A 21913-nucleotide genomic window follows, 5' to 3' on the forward strand; every position below is an offset into this window, starting at 1 on the left:
CTTTCCAGAGTCTTAGTGTTTCAGCTTTTCCTTTTATTCTGTGAATTACTTCAGCATCTACCAACAGAGCGTCATTGTTTTCTTTTCCTTGAGTCTGTCAGAGGGGTCTCTGTTGCTTGCTAGAATGGATCCAGGGGTCCCAATAACCCTGGCCCATGGGCCAAATCCAGCTTGTCATCTGTTTTTATAAATAAAGTTTTATTAGAACACTGTTATGCACAATGATTTATTAATTGTCTATGGTTCCTTTCATGCTAATGGCAGAGTTGAGTAGTTGCAATAAAGATCATATGGCCTGAAAGCTCAAAACATTTACTATCTGGCCCTTTACAAAAAAAAGTATGCTGACTCCGGATTTAAAGCCAGGCCCTCCCCACATAAAGCCTTAAAATCTCTGTCACTGAAGTGTAGGGGCGTGGGATGGAGGGGAACAGTCCTGCTGCCTCTGGAATCATCACATACAAAACCAGGTCCTTGCCAGGCATCACAAGATAATCCAGGCTGATCCACTCAGACCCTGTGTCTCCTAGAGGCCTTGGGGTCCCTTGGCTCTACCAACACAATCCCCGCCAAGTCTTCTTCCAGCCTACCTCGAGAGACAGAGAAAGGCCCTACTCATTTTGTAATGAGAACTCCTTGAAGAGCCCTGACCTCTGAGATGTATTTGAAAAGGCCAGAGGCACCCACCACATTTCCTCCATCTTTTCCAAGGCATATGTACAGCACTGGAGCACAGGGCAGTTGTCCTCTCCCCACTCTCCCCATATAACACCCAGACACTCTAGAGGGACAGATGTGTTCTAAGAGGGTTAGACATGGGATGAAACTGTCCAAAATACATGCAATAAATGTGTATAGAGCATTTCTGGAAGAAAAGAAAACACAAGTAACTTTTAACAGTGTTACTAGCCAGGCCAGGCACGGTGGCTCATGCCTGTAATCCCAGCACTTTGGGAGGCCGAGGTGGGCGGATCACAAGTTCAGGAGATCGAGACCATCCTGGCTAACATGGTGAAAATACAAAAAATTAGCCAGGCATGGTGGCACGTGCCTGTAGTCCCAGCTACTCAGGAGGCTGAGGCAGGAGAAGCACTTGAACCTCGGAGGCAGAGATTGCAGTGAGCCAAGATCGCACCACTGCACTCTGTCTAAAAAAAAAAACAGTGGTACTTCTAGGGAGGGAGACTGTGGGTCTGGGAGAAGAGAGACACTTACTCTTCAGTGTATTGTTTCTATTTCATTTTTCCTTATGTATGTATTATTTTATTTTTATTTTTATTTTTATTTTTTTGAGACAGAGTTTCACTCTGTCGCCAGGCTGGAGTGCAGTGGTGCGATCTTAGCTCACTGCAACCTCCGCCTCCCGGGTTCAAGTGATTCTCCTGCCTCAGCCTCCTGAATAGCTGGGACAACAGGTGCTGCACCACCACACCCAGCTAATTTTTGTATTTTTTAGTAGAAACGGGGTTTCACCATGTTTGCCAGGTTGGTCTCGAACTCCTGGCCTCAAGTGATCTGCTCGCCTCGGCCTCCCAAAGTGCTGGGATTACAGGCATGAGCCACCACGCCCAGCCTGTATTATTTTATAACTAAAAAAAAAAACTAAATGAAATCACCTCTACAACCTGTGAAACAAGCCACCATCTTATCTATTCTGGGACCATAAATAATTGTTGTTTTCATCAAGATGGAAAGTTTTACAAAGTTAACCATGAAAAGGGATCCGCCCTAGGGGAGAAGTGGGAAGAGGGGAATGGGGGTGAGCGAAGAGTGAGGAAAAGAAGGTCCATACAAGTGGCTCCAATTCTGGAAGAGAACAAAAGTTAAAGGTGCTTCTAGGAAGACAAAAGACATATTTTAGGACAGAAACTCTCCCCCTAACCTTTTTGAATAGTAAAGAATGCTCAGAGCTGCGGAGATGGTGCCCATGTGCTTGGAAGTGAAGCAAAATTCCTACATTCCCTGATGGGCCCATCCTGTGCCTGTTCTCAGGGTGAGAGGAAGGAAGGAGAGAGAGGACCCTCCCAGAAGAAGACTAGGATCTATGACACCTGGAGGTTGGGAGAAAAAGAGAAAGCAGGGTGAGGACATGATCAGGCTGTGGGATAAAGCAGGCAGAAAGGTTCCTAAGGAGCCTCTTCCCTGCAGAAGCAGAACTCAGGCCACCAGGAGAAGAGCAAAGGACCCTCACTTCCCACCCACAAACTGCCTGGACACCCCCAGCTAAGAGACCAAATAAGGGAGCAGAAGAGGCCTCCACATGGGTCAGGAAGAGAGGGGGATTCTACCCATACCTGCATACATGCTCCAAACACACCAGGCATCAAACATCCCCCTGTGGTAGGCAGAGTTTTGGCCAAGATGTAATGAAGGTTACTGATCAGACGACTTTAAGACAGGGAGATTATATGGGATTATTGGGGTAGGCCTAATCTAATCACAAGAGCCCTTAAAACAAAAGCAGAGATCCTCCCTAACTGGTGGCAGAAGCAGACACAGAGTCAAAGCATGGGCAGGACTCGACAGGCCATCATTGGCTTGAAGATGAAGGTGGTGGCATGTGTCAAGAAAACGGAGACCTCAGTCCTACAATCATAAGGAACTGAATTCTGCCAACAACCTGAATGGGCCTGGAAGGGGAATCTTCTCCAGAGCCTTCAGATAAAAGACCAGGCTGGCCCACACCTTGATTCTGGTCTTGTGAGATTCTAAGCAGAGGATGATTCCACCTGTACTTCCGACTTACAGAAGCTGTGGAATCACACATTTGTACTGTTTTAAGCTGTTAAATTTGTGGTAATTTGTTATGGCAGCAATAGAAAACTAATATGCCTCCCAAAATCAAAATGAAATCAATTCCAGAAATAGTTGTTGAGCACTTACTAGATATGAAACTCTAAAATTCCAGGGCCACAGGTAAGGGCATATTCCAGCTACCCAGGAGGAACACAGCCATCATTAGATAGGATTTCCACCCAGCAAAAAGCAGTGAGGCTGAAATGCTGATATCCCCAGGAATGGGCTCATGAGACTAACACGGGAGGACAGAAGAGGCCCCTAGCACCACACAGAAGGCCTGGTTAAGGAGGAAAGGCTGGATGGCAGGAGGTGCTATTTAATTGACTACACAGTCTTGACTGGGCCGGCCTCTACTCTCATCTTTGTGAATCAGACAGGAGTTTCCTTGTGGGGAAAAGCAAGAGAGATCAGATTGTTACTGTGTCTGTGTAGAAAGAAGTAGACATAGGAGACTCCATTTTGTTCTGTACTAAGAGAAATTCTTCTGCCTTGAGATTCTGTTAATCTATAACCTTACCCCCAACCCCGTGCTCTCTGAAACATGTGCTGTGTCAAACTCAGGGTTAAATGGATTAAGGGCTGTGCAAGATCTGCTTTGTTAAACAGATGCTTGAAGGCAGCACGCTCTTTAAGAGTCATCACCACTCCCTAATCTCAAGTACCCAGGGACACAAAAACTGTGGAAGCCCGCAGGGACCTCTGCCTAGGAAAGCCAGGTATTGTCCAAGGTTTCTCCCCATGTGATAGTCTGAAATATGGCCTCATGGGAAGGGAAAGACCTGACCGTCCCCCAGCCCGACACCTGTAAAGGGTCTGTGCTGAGGAGGATTAGTATAAGAGGAAGGCATGCCTTTTGCAGTTGAGACAAGAGGAAGGCATCTGTCTCCCGCCCATCCCTGGGCAATGGAATGTCTCGGTATAAAACCCGATTGTACGTTCCATCTACTGAGATAGGGAAAAACCGCCTTAGGGCTGGAGGTGGGACATGCGGGCAGCAATACTGCTTTGTAAAGCATTGAGATGTTTATGTGTATGCATATCTAAAAGCACAGCACTTGATTCTCTACCTTGTCTATGATGCAAAGACCTTTGTTCACGTGTTTGTCTGCTGACCCTCTCCCCACTATTGTCTTGCGACCCTGACACATCCCCCTCTCGGAGAAACACCCACGAATGATCAATAAATACTAAGGGAACTCAGAAGCTGGCGGGATCCTCCATATGCCGAACGCTGGTTCCCTGGGTCCCCCTATTTTTTTCTCTATACTTTGTCTCTGTGTCTTTTTCTTTTCCAAGTCTCTCGTTCCACCTAACGAGAAACACCCACAGGTGTGGAGAGGCAACCCACCCCTTCATTTCCTGATGCAGCTCTGTACAAAATGGCCTGACTTCCAGGGCCAGCCTCAAGGTCTCGGGGAGACAAGGGATGGCTCAGCAGAGAGCTCTGTCCCACTTAAGGAGACTCAGCTTCATCCAGAGTCTGCTGCACTACCTGTGCACAGTGCAGGGTGCGAAGGCACAAGCATATTGAATTAGGAAATCCATACTCCTTCACTACAGCTTGAGGCTACAATGGCTGGGACATCTACTTCTCTCAGTGGAGGTGAAAGCTATGTTGTGGGGAAAAGTACATGCTAAGATAATTAAGGCCATTGACTCAAAACAGGATTCAGAGAGTGCTATTCAGGTCTATTCCTTGGCCTAGGACGTCCCAGAGGGTAATTTCATACTGATCCTTTTTGGGTAAGAACCTGTTTTCTCCAAAGTGGAAATATCTTGATTACTTTCTCTGATCACACTTCACCATGGTTAAAACATTCGTACAACACAGCAAATGCAAAACCAACCCCATGATCCCAAGTCGTAGAAATAACCCTCGTTAACTATATTTTCCACACTACTTTTAATACACATTCACATGTGCACACACTCAACTCTTTAAATACAAACAGAAATCGATATATTATTTACAGCTTCTTTCGCCTAAGAAGGCACAATACAGCAATACAAAGATCTAGCTTGTTTTTTAATTGCTTCATTGCTGGAAATAGCTGCATTGCTGATAAGAGAAAAATATGGGTATCAACTTAAATGCCCATCAAAAGGGGATGACAAATAAATTATGCTCCATCTATGCCATGAAATATTATGTAGCCATTAAAAATTAGGTAGATGTATTTATGCTCATATAAAAGTATTTCCAAAATAAATTTAATAAGCAAAGTGAGAACTCTCATGTATACTATAATACTGCTTTTAAAAAAAAGAAGTGTGTGTAAAATGTGTGTATACACACACACATATATTAGTTTTTGTTTGTTTGTTTGTTTGTTTTGAGACACAGTCTTGCTCTGTCACCCAGGCTGGAGTGCAATGATGCGATCTTGGCTTACTGCAACCTCCACCTCCTGGGTTCAAGTGATTCTCCTGCCTCAGCCTCCCAAGTAGCTGGGACTACAGGTGTGCACCACCATGCCCGGCTAATTATTTTTTTGTATTTTTTTTTAGCAGAGATGGGGTTTCGCCATGTTAGCCAGGCTGGTCTCAAAATCCTGACCTCAGGTGATCCACCCACCTCGGCCTCCCAAAGTGCTGGGATTACAGGCATGAGCCACCACACCTAGGCCATATATTAGTTTTTTAAGAGGATACACAACTGTGAGTAGTGATTATGTTGACCATGAATTGAGTGAGAAGGAAACTCAGTTTTTCCTGTGCATTTTTGTGCATTGTTTCTTTTGTTCCTTTACTTTTTTAACGTACGAATGCTTCTTTACCAACTCCATTAATTGAGGATGTGTATCTGTCCTGTCCATGACTATATCCCCAGGGCTTAGAATAATAACTGCTCTTTATAAGGTCATTCAATAAATATTTACTTGAAGAACAACTTTGTGGACTAATCTATTAAAAATGCTCCAGTTAACATCCCTGCTCTTGCGTCTCTGGCCTGAGGTGAGGTTTGAGGCTGGGTTCAGCCCTTTCCCACCTCCCCCTGAGTGACACTAAGCAAAATTGTCCTTAGAAACATCCCAACTCCTGGAGTACTTACCAACAAAGGAAGATGTCTGTGAATGTCTCTGCTGTGGTGAAAAGTGCAAATATAATCCAGTACATCATCCATTTGACCTGTTGAAACAGAAAGCAACACAGCTGGTAGAAAAGGTCCAGGAAAAACACTGCCCAACACCAGGAAGAACAGGCCCCGGCGGCAGATACGGAGGCACGTCCAGGTGGTGCAGCCTGCATTTGTAGCCTTCTCCCTATCCTTCCCCAGCTTATGTCCAGTTCTGCTCCAGATCTTGAAGCTGGAAGCAAATGGGCTGTTCCACAACTGACTCAGGCTGAAGGTCATATGGCCCTAAAGTGAGCCGGGGAGACCTGCGGACCAAGAGTGACCCAGGATTCAATCAGGTCATTTTTCAGAACATCAGGGGAGAAAATGCTCTAGGCCTCTACACAAACACACCCTGGAATGAAGTGTAACTGGGCCACACTCTCTGGGATGGCATGGTAGTAATCTAGGAATTCTGATCTTCCTTTTATCTCTCCCATGTGACCATCCTTTTCAATTTCTACTGCCTTTCTCCCCTAAGGCCTTTGTCCCCTCTCTCTTGAACTACTCCTACTTCCCTTGTTTCCTGACTTTCCCCTCAGCAACCCATCCTAATACCAAGCCACCCCTGTACTATTCTCCCAAAAGTATAAACTCATCAGACTATCACCCCATTTAAAATATCCCAGCCTGCAGAATCAAGTCCAGATTCCTTAGTCTACTCCTTCTGGCTTCTGGCAAAAGTGAGGTAGCTTATATTGAACTAAGGCTCCTACTAATAATGATAATAAACACCAAACAAAATATTTCAAAACAACTGTTTGAAGGCCCTGGAGAGCAATATAAAAAGCAGACAGAGACTGGAAGGGGTTCAAGCTTTGGAGCACGGGAACCACACTGGGTTAGTACAAGTCAGTGCGGCTGAGGACAGTCCTCACTCTGCACATCATGGGGCAGAGAGAACTCAATCTCAAATCCAGAGTCTTATTTGTCCAAAGAAAAGGAGAATGCAGTTTGAGACTGCCAGAGATGCTGGAAGTGGACAGAGAAAAATCTCAGAATTAGGGAAGCCATAAAGGGGCACCCCAAAAATCTACATATAAATTCTCTTCAAAAACTTGGCAGGTCCCTGAAATGCACAGAAGCAGGTAAGACTCCAAGCGAAGAAGTCTGTATAATAATATAGATATAAATACATATAGATATAAATGTAGATATAAACAGCTGGAAAGCTGAAAAGCTCAGAGTTGAGCAGAGATTTAGCTTCTGCCCACTGTTGGGGAAACAAAGTTTGGAATTCAAGTCATGCAAAGTTAGAGGGGTTTGGTAAGCATTTGGAATTTCCAGTGAAACACCTGGAAGACCACATCTTAGCAATAAAAATTACATCCTAACACTAAGAGATTAACTCTATGACTAAGAGCAAAATTTAAATATACCTGCCCAAACAAAACGTATCTAGCTGCCACAGGGTCAAGGTGATCTGCCTGAATTTAACTGCCTGCTAGAACAACACTCAACATTCTTCACAAGAAGGCAAAAAAAAATCTACAACCTAAGTCTATCAATGGATGACTGAATAAAGAAAATGGGGTGTATATACATACATATATATATATGCACAATGGAATACTACCCAACCATAATAAAAAATCATGTCTTTTGCAGCAATATAGATGGAACTGGAGTCCATTATCATAAGTAGAATAACTCAGAAACAGAAAGCCAAATACTGCATGTTCTCACTTATAAATAGGAGCTAAATAATGTGTACACATGGACATAGAGAGTGGAATAATAGACTTTGGAGACTTGAAAAGGTGGGAAGGTAGGAGGGGATGAGGGATGAGAAACTACCGAATGGGTACAATTTAGACTACTTGGGTGATGGTTACACTAAAAGCCCAGACTTCATCACTATGTAATATATCCACGTAACAAACCTGCACTTGTACCCCCTAAAGCTATAAACACAAAAAAATAAGAAAAATGTATAAAATATCTGTGGTTTCCACAATGAATCACACACAAGGTTCTGTATACAATAAAATACTACACGTGAGGGAATAGGAAAATATAATCCATGGTTAGGAGAAAAATTGGTCAATAGAAACAGATCCACAGATGACTTCGATATTAGAATTAGCAGACAAGGGCTTTAAAAGGTATCAATACGTTTTGAGTTAACTAGATATCCACATGTAAAATAATAAAGTTGAACAACTTCATACCATATACAAAAATTAACTTCAAATGGATCAGAGTCCTAAATGTAAGAGTTAAAACTATAAAACACTTACAAGAAAAACATATAATTAAATATTTCTGACCTTGGATCAGGCAATGCTTTCTTAGATGTACTACCAAAAGGGCCGGGCGCGGTGGCTCACGCCTGTAATCCCAGCACTTTGGGAGGCCGAGGCGGGTGGATCATGAGGTCAGGAGATCGAGACCATCCTGGCTAACAAGGTGAAACCCCGTCTCTACTAAAAATACAAAAAATTAGCCGGGCGCGGTGGCCGGCGCCTGTAGTCCCAGCTACTCGGGAGGCTGAGGCAGGAGAATGGCGTGAACCCGGGAAGCGGAGCTTGCAGTGAGCCGAGATTGCGCCACTGCAGTCCGCAGTCCGGCCTGGGCGACAGAGCGAGACTCCATCTCAAAAAATAAAAATAAAAATAAAAATAAAAAAAATAAAATAAATAAATAAATAAATAAAGATATACTACCAAAAGCACACACACAAAAAAACAAACTAAAAGGCCAGGCGTGGTGGCTCACGCCTGTAATCCCAGCACTTTGGGAGGCCGAGGTGGGTGGATCACGAGGTCAGGAGATCGAGACCATCCTGGCTAACACGATGAAACCCCGTCTCCACTAAAAATGCAAAAAATTAGCCGGGCATGGTGGTGGGCACCTGTAGTCCCAGCTACTCAGGAGGCTGAGGTAGGAGAATGGCATGAACCCAGGGGGAAGAGGTTGCAGTGAGCTGAGATTGGGCTACTGCACTCCAGCCTGGGTGACAGAGCAAGACTCTGTCTCAGGGGAAAAAAAAAACAAAAAAAAACAACCAAACTAAAAAATTTACTGGGAGGCCAAGATGAGAGAATTGCTTGAGGCCAGGAATTTGAGATCAGCCAGGGCAACATAGTGAGAGCCCATGATATGGTTTGGATGTGTGGTTGTGTCCCCACTTAAATCTCTTCTCAAATTGTAATCCAATTTTAATCCCCACATGTCAGAGGAGGGACTTGGTGGGAGGTGATTGGTTCATGGGGGCGGTTTCCCCCATGTGGTTCTCATGATGGTGAGTGAGTTCTCACAAGATCTGATGGTTTTATAACAGGTAGTTTCCTTTGCTGTCTCTCTCTGTCCTGCCACCTTGTGAAGAAGGTGCCTGCTTCCCCTTCACGTTCCACCATGATTGTAAGTTCCCTGAGGCCTCCCTAGCCATGCAGAACTGTGAGTCAATTAAACCTCATTTATAAATTACCCAGTCTCAGGGAAGTTCTTTATAGCAGTGTGAAAACAGACTAATACACACTGTCTCCACTAAAAAACTCAAAAAGTAGCCAGGCATGGTGTCACACACCTGTAGTCCTAGCTAGCTATTTGGGAGGCTGAGGCAGGAGGATGGCTTGAGCCCAGGAGTTCAAGGCTGCAGTAAGCTATGATCATGTCACTGCCCTTCAGCCAGGGCAACAGAGCAAGATCCTACCTCAAAAAGAAGACAAATTAGACTTCATCAAAATTAAAAACTGTTTTGCTTCAAAGGACACCATCGAGAAAGTAAAAACACAACCCACAAAATGGTAGAAAATATTTGCACATCATTCATCTGATAAGGTACTTATATCTAAATATATAAAAAACTCTTATAACTCAACAATAAAAGGGTACATAACCCAGTTAAAAACGTGCAAAGGGCCCATAGTCTATTTAAGAAACTGAATCAGTAATGAAAAAAATCCAACACTCATTTGTGACTTAAAAAAAAAAAACCTTAGCAAAGTAGAAATAGAAGGGAAGCTCCTCAACTTGATAAAGAACATATTTTTTTTAAAACCCTACAGCTAACATTAGACTTACTGGTGAGAAAATAGATGATTTCCTCCTAAGATCAGAAAAAGGGCAAAGTTATTCTCTTCCATCACTCCTATATCATAATGGAAGTCCTAGATAATGCAATAAGACAAGAAACAGAAAACATATACAGACTGGGAAGAAAGAGATAAAACCATTTTTCCTCATAGATGGTGTAACTGTCTACGTAGAAAATCCCAAGGAACTCACCAAAAAAATCCTCCTGGGATTAATAAATGATTAGAGCAAGGTTGCAGGATACAAGGTTAATGTATAAAAGTCCATTGCTTTCCTACATAATAACTGGAACTTGAAATTAAAACACAAATGCTACTTATGTTAGTACCATCTAAAAATGAATAACTTAGAAATGTATCAAACAGGATATGTAAAAAGTCTATATAAAGGAAACTATACAAATGATAGAAATCAAAGATCTAAATAAATGGAGAAATATTTCATGTTCATATATAGGAGAACTCAATATTGTCAAGATGTCAGCTCTTCCCAACTTGATCTATAGATTCAATGCAACCCCAATCACAATCCCAGCAAGTTTCTTATGGATATCAACAAACCGATTATAAAGTTTATATGGAAAGGTAAAAGACCAGAACAATTAATATAATACAAAAGAAGAACAACATTGAAAGACTAAAGCTATCAGATTTCAAAACTTAATGTAAAGCTAAAATAATCAAGACCATGTGCAACTGGTAAAAAAATAAACAAATAGATAAATGGAACAGAACACAGATCCCAGAAATAGACCCACGCAAGTATAGTGATTTGATCCTTGACAAAGGAGCAAAAGCAATTCAGTAGAGAAAAGATGGTCTTTTTAACAAATGATGCTGGGAAAACTGGACATTCACATGCAATAACAACAATGAAAAATGGATCTAGGCACTGACCTTACATCTTTCACAAAGATTAACTCAAAATGGATCATAGGTCTAAATGCAAAGCACAAGACTAAAAAACTTCTAGAAGACAACATATAAGAAAATCTAAAGACCTCGGGCTTTGGCACTGAGTTTTTGGATACAACATCAATGGTATGATCTATGAAAGAAAAAAATCGTTAAGTTGGACTTCATTAAAATTCAAAACCTTTTTTCTTCATCCCTTCTGTCTATAAAGCCAATCCCTTCAGCTCAGCTTGTTAGAACACTTGTTCTATTTTATAGAATGAAGTGTTGCCCAATTCTAGGCTCATAATAAAGTCAACTGAGGTATTTAAACTAAATTTGTTGTAATTTTGCCTTTGACCCTGAACTCCACTGTGGAAAATATCCTACTAGTCCCCCAAATTGTCTAAGTTATATTTGTTGTTGCCATTTCATCTGCAAAATTAGCTAACTCCTAGATTATAACACTTTATGGCATTCAGTGACAAATGTCCTAAATATTTTACTTCGGTTTGACAAATTACAATTTGTCCAGTGAGGTCTGAAGTCCCTGTGGGTGAGGAATTCTAACTAAGCCAAAGTATCAATTTTGCATTGCTCTTTTGATTCTTAGGCTACCAGCAAACCATCTACATACTGGATTATAAGCCAAAAATAAAATTCTAAGCTCCCAACCAACTGAATGGCCCCTTCCTCCCAGCAAAGGACATTTAAAAATAAACCTGAAACACTAGTGCAGGACATGATGGTAATAGGTGGTCAGGAAAAAATAATAATAAAATTAAAAACTTCCGCTCTGCACAGGTAACATTTAGAGAACAAGGAGACTGGGAGAAAATATTTATAAAACACATATCTGATAAAGCACTTATATTTAAAATATAAAAAAAAAACTCTTAAAACTCAACAATAAGAAAACAAACAACTCAATTTTCTCCCACAGATTGGGAGAAAATATTTTGCAAGATATATATCTGATACAGGACTTGTATTCAACATATACAAAGAACTCTTAAAACTCAACAATAAGAAAACAAACAACCCAATTAAAAAATGGGCAAAAGATCTGAACAGACACTCCACAAAGAAGATATACAGATATACAGCAACTTATTAACAAAACTTTTATTATGAAAACTAAACTTTTGTTTTGTCACCACATAACAAGATACTTATCCTAGGAGGAAAAGGATGCGTTCAGTATCATTTTTCTTTTGTTTGTTTGTTTGTTTGTTTGTTTGTTTGTTTGTTTGTTGAGATGGAGTTTTGCTCTTGTTGCCCAGGCTGGAGTGCAATGGCACGATCTCAGTTCTCCGTAACCTCCTCCTCCCAGGCTCAAGTGATTCTCCTGCCTCAGCCTCCCGAGTAGCTGGGACTACAGGCATGCGCCACCACGCCTGGCTAATTTTGTATTTTTAGTAGAGACAGGGTTTCTCCATGTTGGTCAGGCTGGTCTCAAACTGCTGACCTCAGGTGATCCACCCACTTGGCCTTCCAAAGTGCTGGGATTACAGGTGTGAGCCACCGTGCCCAGCCATATTTTTCTTTAAAAAGTATAAATATGTTAAAGAATCTAAAAGAAAATGTGAATACAATGAGTGGAGAGATGGGGGATTTCAAGAGAAAGAAGGAAACTCTTAAAAAAGAAACAAATGATATCCTAGAATTCAAAAGCACAATATCTGAAATGAAACAGTATGACAGAATTAACAGCATATTGGATACAACAAAAGAAAAGATCTGTGTATTTGAAGACAAATCCAGACTAAAGCCATGCAGACTAAAGCCTAGATTGGAAAACAACACTGAGAGGCTCAATATGTGTTGGACTGCATCAGGCAGTCTAACATACATGTAATAGGAATTCCAGAAGGAAAGAAACATGAGAATGGAGAACAAAAAAAAACACTTGAAGAATACTGGCTACAAAGTTCTAAAATTTGATTAAAAAAAAAATAACAAACCCTGATCAGGTGTGATGGGAACACTTTGGGAGGCTGAGGCAGGTGGATCGCTTGAGGCCAGGAGTTCTAGACCAGCCTGGGCAACTTGGCAATACCCTGTCTCTACTAAAAATATAATAATTAGCTGGGCATGGTGGTGAGTGCCTGTAGTCCCAGTTACTTGGGAGGCTGAGGCACAAGAATTGCTTGAACCCGGGAGGCAAAGGTTACAGTGAGCTGAGATCATGCCACTGCACTCCAGCCTGGGCAACAGAGCAAGATTCTGTCTCAAACAAAAAAATAAACAAATAAACAAACCAACAAACCCAAAGAACCAGGAAGCTCAGTGAATCCCAAGCAAGATAAATACAAAGAAAAAGAAAACCATACCTAGGCAAGTCATAGTAAAACTGCTTAAAAAAAAAAAAAGAAAGAAAAGAAGAGAAAAAAAGAAAAATCATTACCATACAGAAAATCTTAAAAGCAGAGAGGATGCAAAGATACATTACACACAAGAGAATGAGAATAAGAATGATAGCTGACTTTTCATTGGAAAAAATGACTATCAGAGAAAATGGAATAACATCTTTAAAGTGCTAAAAGGAAAAAAAATGTCAACCTAGAATTCTATACCCAGCAAAAATATCTTTCAAAAAATGAAAGCTGTTCTGGTGAATCCATGTTGTCTTTGTGACTCTAAAACATGTTTCTCAATGGATTACTTACAGATCTTCTCTATCAGAAAAACAAGGTAGGTTTAGTCCATCAAATAACTACTGTCTGAGACACTGCACACTGCCAGGTTGTCTGTAGCAGCACTGACTCCTTAGCAGGGGGCAAATGAGGTTTTGTCCAGTGGTAAAGTCTATAGCCTGCTGGGGCTCAGGATCTGGGAATTCTCAACATCAGTATCCAGACACATTGTCAGGAGCCTGAATTCCTTCTTTATAGGTTTTTTCTTTTTAGTAGTCAATTCATGTTTTGGGTCTTCAATTAGAGCAAAAGGACAATGATAACAATTTTAAAAATCCCTCTCCTTGGCCAGGCGTGGTGGGTCACGCCTGTAACGCCAGCACTTTGGGAGGCTGGGGCGGGCAGATCACCTGAGGTCAGGAGTTTGAGACTAGCCTGACCAACATGGTGAAACCCCGTCTCTGCTAAAAATACAAAAAATAGCCAGGTGTGGTGTACGCACTTGTAATCCTAGCTACTCAGGAGGCTGAGGCAGGAGAATTGCTTGAATCCGGGAAGTGGAGGTTACAGTGAGCCAAGAGCACGCCACTGCACTCCAGCCTGGGCAACAAGAGTGAAACTCCATCTCAGAAAATTTTTTAAAAATCCCTTTCCTTGATGCAACCCTTAGCTACAAACTTCTCCAGTGAGTCATCTATACTTGCAAGATCTACTTTCTCATTCCTCACTTGCTCACTGCAGTGCATCCATTACATCAAAATTGCTCTCACTGGGGCCTCCACTTTGTAACATACTTCAAGGAAGTGTAAGAAACCTCTTTTCAGTTTTTACTTGGCTTGCTTGACTTTTTGGCTAGTAGTGAAACAATCACATACTGAAAAGCTCTCCCAACACTACAATTGTCCTGGTTTCCCAATTGCTTTTCTTGCCACTTCTTCTCAGTGTCTTCATTTCCTCCCTAGAGCTCTGTTCTAGACATCTGCTTCTAACTCTAGACTAGACACTGTCCCTAGGGAAAACTGTACATTCCTCACCTAACACAGGTAACCAATCCCCAAGTTCTGTCACTTCCACCCTCTTGTATTTTTCTTGAACCTGTCTTATTTTCTCCATTCTCCTCTGCCATTTCCTTACTTCAGAACACCACCATCTCCTGTTTAGAATAGTTACAACTTTATGCTGGTCTTTACACCTCTGTCCCCTTCACAATCCATCCTCCAAATTCCAGCCAAAATGATTTTCTTAAGGCCAGTCATGGTGGCTCATGCCAGTAATCCCCGCACTTTGGGAGGCTGAGGCAGGTGGATCACTTGAGCCCAGGAGTTTGAGACCAGCCTGGGAAATGCGGTGAAACCCCGTCTCTATAAAAAAACACAAAAATTAGCTGGGCATGGTGATGCACACCTGTAGTCACAGCTACCAGGGTGGCTAAGGCAGAAGGATCACCTGAACCTGGGGAGGTCAAGGCTGCAGTGCTGTGTATAATCACAGCTCTGTGATTATACCACTGTACTCCAGCCTTGGCAACAGAACAAGACCCTGTCTCAAAAAAAAAAAAAAATTCTTAAACCTAAAGCGGGTGACTTTCTTTCCTAGTTTATAGCCTTCAATAGTTCCTTACTGTTGTTAAGATAAAGCCCAAATTCCTTACATTGGCTTATGAGGCCTAGCATGAACTGGCCCCTACCTTTTTTTTTTTTTTTTTGAGGGGGACAGGGTCTCGCTTGTCATCCAAGCTGAAGTGCTGTGGTGCAAACACAGCTCACTGCAGTCTCGACCTGCTGGGCTCAAGTGATTCTCCCACTCAGCGTCTTGAGTAGCTGGGACTATAGGTGCATGCCACCAAGGCTGGCCAGTTTTTTTGTATTTTTTGTAGAGACAGGGTCTCACCATGTTGCCCAGGCTGGCCTTGAACTCTTGAGCTCAAGCAATCCACCTGCCTCAGTCTCCCAAAGTGCTGGGATTACAGGCTTGATCCACCACACCCGCAAACTGGCCCCTAATTATTTTCATCAAAAGCTCATCCACACCCCTACCCTCTCACATTTTCCACTCCAACCATATGAGTCTTTCAGTTCTCAACAAAGCATCTTTTTTTGCGTCTGATTTCAGCCCTCAGATCTCAGCAAAAACGTGACCTCCTCTAGGACATACCCGAAGTTTGGGTAAATACCCTCTCCTTGTCTTTCTTTACAGTACCACACACATTCCCTGTCATAACATTTATCACACTGCTTTGAAAGTACCTGTTTATTCCCCTGCTTTTCCTAATACATTGTAAGCTCCCTGAGGGTGGAGACCAGTTCTCCTTATACATCTTTATATCTCTAGTACCCAAAACAATTCCTGACATATAATAGGTACTGAATGAGTATGTTTCAAATGACCGGATTAGAATGCTGGCACTGTGAATGGGACAGAAAGAATGGTTTCAAAAGGTTAAGAAAGAGTATACTTTGAGAAATACTGTCTAGATGGCTTTTTGAGAAGAAAAGACAGAATTAGACAACTTGTGAGGCAACAGATGCTCCCTATGAGTGCCTACTGAGTTGATGACTGCATAAACATAGGAAGAAAGGCACCTGTTGAAGTCAGGACATCAGAGACTGATAATTATGGGGCCACTTGCACCAACAAGAAAGTAAAGAAAGAGCCAATTTAGGCAGAAGAGTTTGAGCTTTATGTGGCTCAGGGCAGCCAAGAAGATTGCCCAACGGATTCCTAGAAAAGCAAGACCAAAGCTCAGGAAGGAGGTTGAGGCTATGGACAGAGATGCTGCAGCCATGGCAGAGAGGGGACTTAATGCATTCTCCTGAAGAAGTTCCCATGATGCACTCCTTTGAAATACTTTCATGCAGAAAGAAGGATCTGAGAATGACTCATTGAGGCTAACAAGGTCAACGGAACACTGGTGACTCAGAGATGGAAACCATAGCCATCTAAAATTACTAGGAAATGGTCTTCCCCATCATTCCTCGTGGAAATCAAATGACAGTTATTTTCCCCAAGGTTTGAAATATAATTTTCCATGTTTGAAAGATTCTATCCAAACCTCCCTGCAAGATAGGGATGAGGAGCCTGGGTGGGCCTTCAGTCAGAATAGAGAGAGGGAGCTATGGCCAATTTGAGAGGTAATATTCAGGAGTAACTCTCCTGGACAAATGGAACGTTGACAGTATGACTGGGGAGTCTCTCTAAACTGGTCAGGAGCAGGATCTAGGAGTGAAGAGATGGGAAAGATGCTGTGACCCTCAGCCACAGCAAGAAGCTCCAGAGCTCAGGGTAGGAAGCGGCCTGGAGACTTTCCATGAGCCACAGCAGCTGGCTGAAATTCCCTGGTCCATTCTACCCCACTGCCAGAGCTTCTGGCAGCCTGCCAAAGGCCTCCCTATGGGCTGCAGAGGAGCAGGCTTAGCTACTTCTTTAGCCTCACCTCACCTTTGGACTCTGCTCTAACCAGGCACATTCAATTTCTCAAGCCTTTCACACCCTCTTGCATCTGGGCCCTGCGCTTCAGCCTCACAGGGAATTCCCTGTGCCATATGACAGAAAGAAAAAATTCAAGCCTGCTTTACAGATGACTCTGCACCATCTGCTCACCGTGGATGGCTATATAGTCAGGGGTGACCCTAGGAGAGCGGGAAAGTGAAATTCCCCTGCAGGCAGGACTTTGAGCAGGGCACTTAGCCTGGAGGGAGAAATGCCCTAAGTTAATGTTCACGCACTGTCACCGGGTATATGAACTCCATTTTCTTATTTTCTATATTCTTGATGCTCTGGCATCTGGGGCCTCAATGATTACAGAGGGACTGCCCTTCCAGGGCTAGCCTTGCCCCAGCACACCTTTCATATGCAAACTAACCAATCCAGAGTCTATACTCTAAATTACTTCCTTTATGGAGCTCCCACAGGTTGGGCAATATTCCCCAACCATAACCACCCCAGAGCCAGGTCCCAGACAACTAGAGGCAGCGCCCACACCTTGGAGCCTGCTGAAATGATTCCACCTAGCCAATCTGAAATCTGTTTACCCTGTCTTGCCTTACCTTTCTCACAGAAACCACAATGAAGGCCACTGCCCACGTTTCCCACTCTCCGTCAGCCTCCTGACTGGCCTGGTGCTTCCCCATGTGGCCCTACAAAGCATGTGACTCTCCTACTTCTAGACTTCTTCCTTCATGACAGTCATTTCCACGTCTTTGTGACTTTCCATCCCTGAGTAAAACAAATCCCGGGCACATTTTCAAACACCAGCTAAAGCTCTGTCTAGAGGATGAGGTTCTTGGAAGAAGTGAGGCTGAGAGACTCCTGTTGAGGTGGTCTGGGAATGAGGTGAATGGGCCCAGAGAATGAATACATTGTTGGCCCAACGCTTATGCTCACCAACAGGTCCCACAGCAGAGGAGGCTCCTAGTGACCAAGTGCATGAGATGGCCAGGTCTGTGGATGTCGGCCAGCCTCCTTCCTCAGGCTTGATAGTGCATGTTCAATGGGCTCATGTACCAAACAGCCAAGTGGAAGTGACAGAGGTAGCATACAGGCTCAGCAATGTGGAATCCCTCTCACCAAGGCTGACCTGGCCACAACCACTGCTCAGAGACCATGTTGCCAGCAGCAATGACCAAGCATCTCCAGGCTGATACCATATCACAAGGCACCAGCCAGCCTTCTGGAAGCAGGTTCATTCCACCAGGCCCCTTCCCTCATGGAGTGGGCGGCATAGGGTCTTTTCTGGAATATTCATTTTTTCTGCATGTGGACTTGCTTTTCCTACTGCTCTGCTTCTGGCAGCCACACAGCAAGCTGTGGACTCAGGGATTACCCTTTTCCTTTTGATGCATCCCACACAATACTGCTTCTCATCAAGGACCCTCCTTTATAGCAAAAGAAATAAGGCAATAGGCTGATGCTTTGGGGAGTCATTGATCTTATGCACCCAATGCCCTGCGGTGGCTGGCCTTATACAGTGCTACCTGGCATTGGAGGGTTCCGAAAGCAACCAAGGTGGGAGTCAGCATTTTATGAGATTGGTGTGCAGTCCTGGAGGGTGCAGTTTCTCCTCTGAACCAGTGACCAACATATGGTGGTGCTTCTTAGCCAGAATCTAAAGGTGCAGGAACCAAGGAAATGAGGGTTCCTTAATCTATGATTAAGCCTGATGCCAGCTCCTTGCAATCAAAGTGAGGTCCGTGGACCAGCACTGTTGGCATCATCTGGGAGCCTGTTAGAAATGCAGAATCTCAGACCCCATCCCAGACCTACTGGATCATAATCTGCTTTTAAGGAGATCCCCTGTTCATTCATATGCATGTTAAAGTTTGAGAATCACTGCTCTAACGCACTCACAACATTTTTGCTTCTCATCCTCAGACCTCTGATCTCTGCTTCTTAATGACTTTGGTACTTGAGGGATGGATGCTTCCAACAGGGGATACAAAATGGTTTCAATGAAGTGGAAGCAGAGACTTATATTGTCTCCTGGTGGCTTCACGATACTCACGCCAGTAGGAAATAGATGATAAAGGGGCTTATGGGCTTTGAGGTGCTAACTGATCCTAATTATCAAGGGGAACCAGGACTGCTGCTACACAATGAGGCAGAAAGAAGAGCAGATGGAAGTCAAACAGCCTTGGGGGGGCCTCCTAGTACTGTCTTGTTCAGGGGTAAAAGTCAATGGGTTGCTTGGCGTGGTGGCTCACACCTGTAATCCCAGCACTTTAGCAGGCCAAGGTGTGTGGATTGCCTGAGGTCAGGAGTTCAAGACCAGCCTGGCCAACATGGTGAAACCCCCATCTCTACAAAAATGCAAAAATTAGCCAGGCATGGTGCTGCATGCCTGTAATTCCTGCTACTGGGGAGGCTGAGGCAGGAGAATCACTTGAACCCAGGAGGCAGAGGTTGCAGTGAGCCGAGATCGTGCCACTGCACTCCAGCCTGGGTGATAGAGCGAGACTCTGTATCAAAAAAAAAAAAAAAAAGTCAATGGGTCATTACTACAGCCCTACAGAGGCAAAACTGCCAAGACCTCAGATTCCTCAGGAATAAAGATTTGGGCCCCATCACAGGATGAGGAACAAATCCCACTAAAGCTCTAGCTGAAAGCAACGGGAGCATGAATTGGATGGCGGAAGAGGAAAGCCTCAGGAAAACCTGAGAAAGACTTCAGAATGGGTATCCTGTGGAATGCTAGGTGTCCAGCATGTCCTTCTGAATTATCTTGATTCTGCAGGTGTCCTGCTTTTCAATGTCTTTGAGCTATTTTACAACTTTATAAGTTAAAACTGATTGCAATGCATATAGTTTCACCCACAGAGGTGCAAATAAATTTTGTCCAGCAGAGATACAACTGATCTCCCCATCCCACCCTCCAAGTAATCAGTTTAATATTTATTAACAAATCCATTTCAACATTTCTGATTGCCTACATATGTCTGTTATTTGGGGTCTCCTTTGAACACCTTACTGGTTCCCTCATTAGTTCATAAGTTAAGCAAAATCTTCAACATGTGTTCATTTTATATTCATACAAGAGTCATGATTCCACCCTCTAAAAACTTTTTTCTTTTAACAAAAGACACAAATACAGCTATGAACTCATGACCAGTTGCATGAATATGGACTGTATCTTCTATCCATATTTTCCTCCTTTCTAAGTATAGATTTTAATATTTTAAGTAATTATATTTTAATTCTTTCTCTCCCCACTAAAATAGTATGTGAGCTGCATTGGTGACCGTTCACTTAACAATTCAGTGTTCGGAATGCTGAATATTAAGGTTGGGTCTTGTCAGAACCAGAGGAGGAGAAGACTTTGCCCAGGGATACTGGGCCTGGAGCTGGACTCAGCAACTTACGGAATCTGGATTTGACAAGTGAGTGAGTTGTATAGAATTCTTGTTGGAAGCTTGTTTTTAAGCCGAAATGTGGGTAAAGGAATGGATGTGGATGTAGTTTGGGGTAGCCTAAGAGGCAGCTGTATTGGTTATTTTTTTTCCATGACTACTCAGCATCCAAAGCCTTCTAAAATTGGGAGACATCTCCCAACATGAGCATCTTTGTGGGAGGAAAGTCCTGTTATTTGGGCCCCTATCCAGGACTGTGCACTGTCAGGGGATGCCTCAAAAGCACAAGCAGCCAGTGCCCAAGATGTGACTTTGGCAGAGGCTTCCTAATCACACACTTTCCTATGGTGTGAGCTGGGCCGTCAGCACCACCCAGCCTCCTTGGATCCTCCCCAGTTCCTGGGTATCTTTCTCCTGCTACCTAGTTAATTCTATAAATTCCCGTAAATTCCTTTCTGTTTAAGTTTTCATCCCAAAACCTTGAATCCAGGTACAGTAAGTTTGGTTGGAAAGACATAAGCAGCTATAAATGTCTTGAGCAATGTTTCTAAATTGGAGATCCTGTGAAAAATGCCCATTTTTATTTAGGAGAGCTCCCTCTGCTTCCTGACCAGCCCTGGTGGTTCCCCTGTGTGGCCCTACATGGCATGCCATGCCTCCTACTTCTAGGGGAATGTGTGTCAAAAACTCCTTCATGATAACCGTTTCTGTGCCTTCCACAGAAAGACAAGCCTGAGTCTTCAATTCAAGCAAGTTCCCAGGTGATGCAGATAATGCTGGCCACCAACCACACCTTGGGTGTTGAGATTACAGCGCTGAAGACGTGTAGAGAAGCGACTGGGAAGTAGGGAAGAGCAAGATTGAGAAGGGTGTTAAATGCTGTAATGAAGTTTGTGCTTGATCTTGCAGGTGATAAGCAGCCATTAAATGACCCAGGGGAGTGAAATAAATAGACTTTCATTTTTAAATGGCACTGGATGTCATGTGGCAACAGAGTGGGAAAGCAGGGACAGGAGGCAGGAGAACCAGTTAGGAGGTGTGATAGGCACAACAATGGCTCCCCAAAGATGTCCATGTCCTAATCCCCATATGGCAAATGGGACTGTGTAGCATTATTAAATTAAGGACCTTCAGATGGGAAGAGTATCCTGGATGACCCAGGTGGGCCCCATGTAATCACATGAATCCTTAAAGTGGAGAACCTTTCCCAGTGAGCCTGAGGGAGATATGGTTATGGAAGAACAGCCAGAGAGATGCAATGTTGCTGGCTCTGAAGGAGGAAGAGAAAGGGGCACAAGCCTAAGAATCCAGGAATGGCCTCTAGGAACTGGAAAAGGCAAGGACACAGCCTCTCCCCTGGAGCCACTAAACGGAGCACAGCCCTGCTTGATTTTAACCAAGTGGGACTCATTGGACTTCTGACCTTCAGAATTATAAAATAGTACACAGGTGTTTTAAGCCACTAAGTTCACGGTAATTTGTAATGGTGACAATAAAAAACTAATATAGGAGGCTACTGTAACCTTCTAGGGAAAATAGTGAGAATCTCATTTCTGAGAGTGGCAGCAGAGAAGGACGACAGACCTGGTT

At 43.3% G+C, this 21913-nt stretch overlaps 1 protein-coding gene across 16 annotated transcripts in view, besides 1 other annotated feature; it reads right to left on the reverse strand.

Moving 5' to 3' along the window:
• REEP1 (receptor accessory protein 1) overlaps positions 1 to 21913 on the reverse strand; it is a 124091-nt gene that overhangs the window by 44121 nt on the left and 58057 nt on the right. For all 16 annotated transcript variants that reach the window (NM_001164730.2, NM_001164731.2, NM_001164732.2 and 13 more), the window contains one exon: positions 5852 to 5928. In NM_001164730.2, coding sequence (NP_001158202.1) covers positions 5852 to 5928 — 77 coding nt within the window. The remainder of the gene's footprint in view (positions 1 to 5851; positions 5929 to 21913) is intronic.
• Positions 1816 to 2406: an enhancer, noted in NCBI's record as "H3K27ac hESC enhancer chr2:86487052-86487642 (GRCh37/hg19 assembly coordinates)". NCBI's record gives its function as "activates a minimal SCP1, AML or CMV promoter by ChIP-STARR-seq in naive H9 embryonic stem cells {active_cell/tissue: H9 hESC(naive)}" and the evidence as "EXISTENCE:reporter gene assay evidence [ECO:0000049][PMID:30033119]".

The sequence above is a fragment of the Homo sapiens genome, chromosome 2 (genome assembly GCF_000001405.40).
Source record: "Homo sapiens chromosome 2, GRCh38.p14 Primary Assembly".
Taxonomy (NCBI): Eukaryota; Metazoa; Chordata; class Mammalia; order Primates; family Hominidae; genus Homo; species Homo sapiens.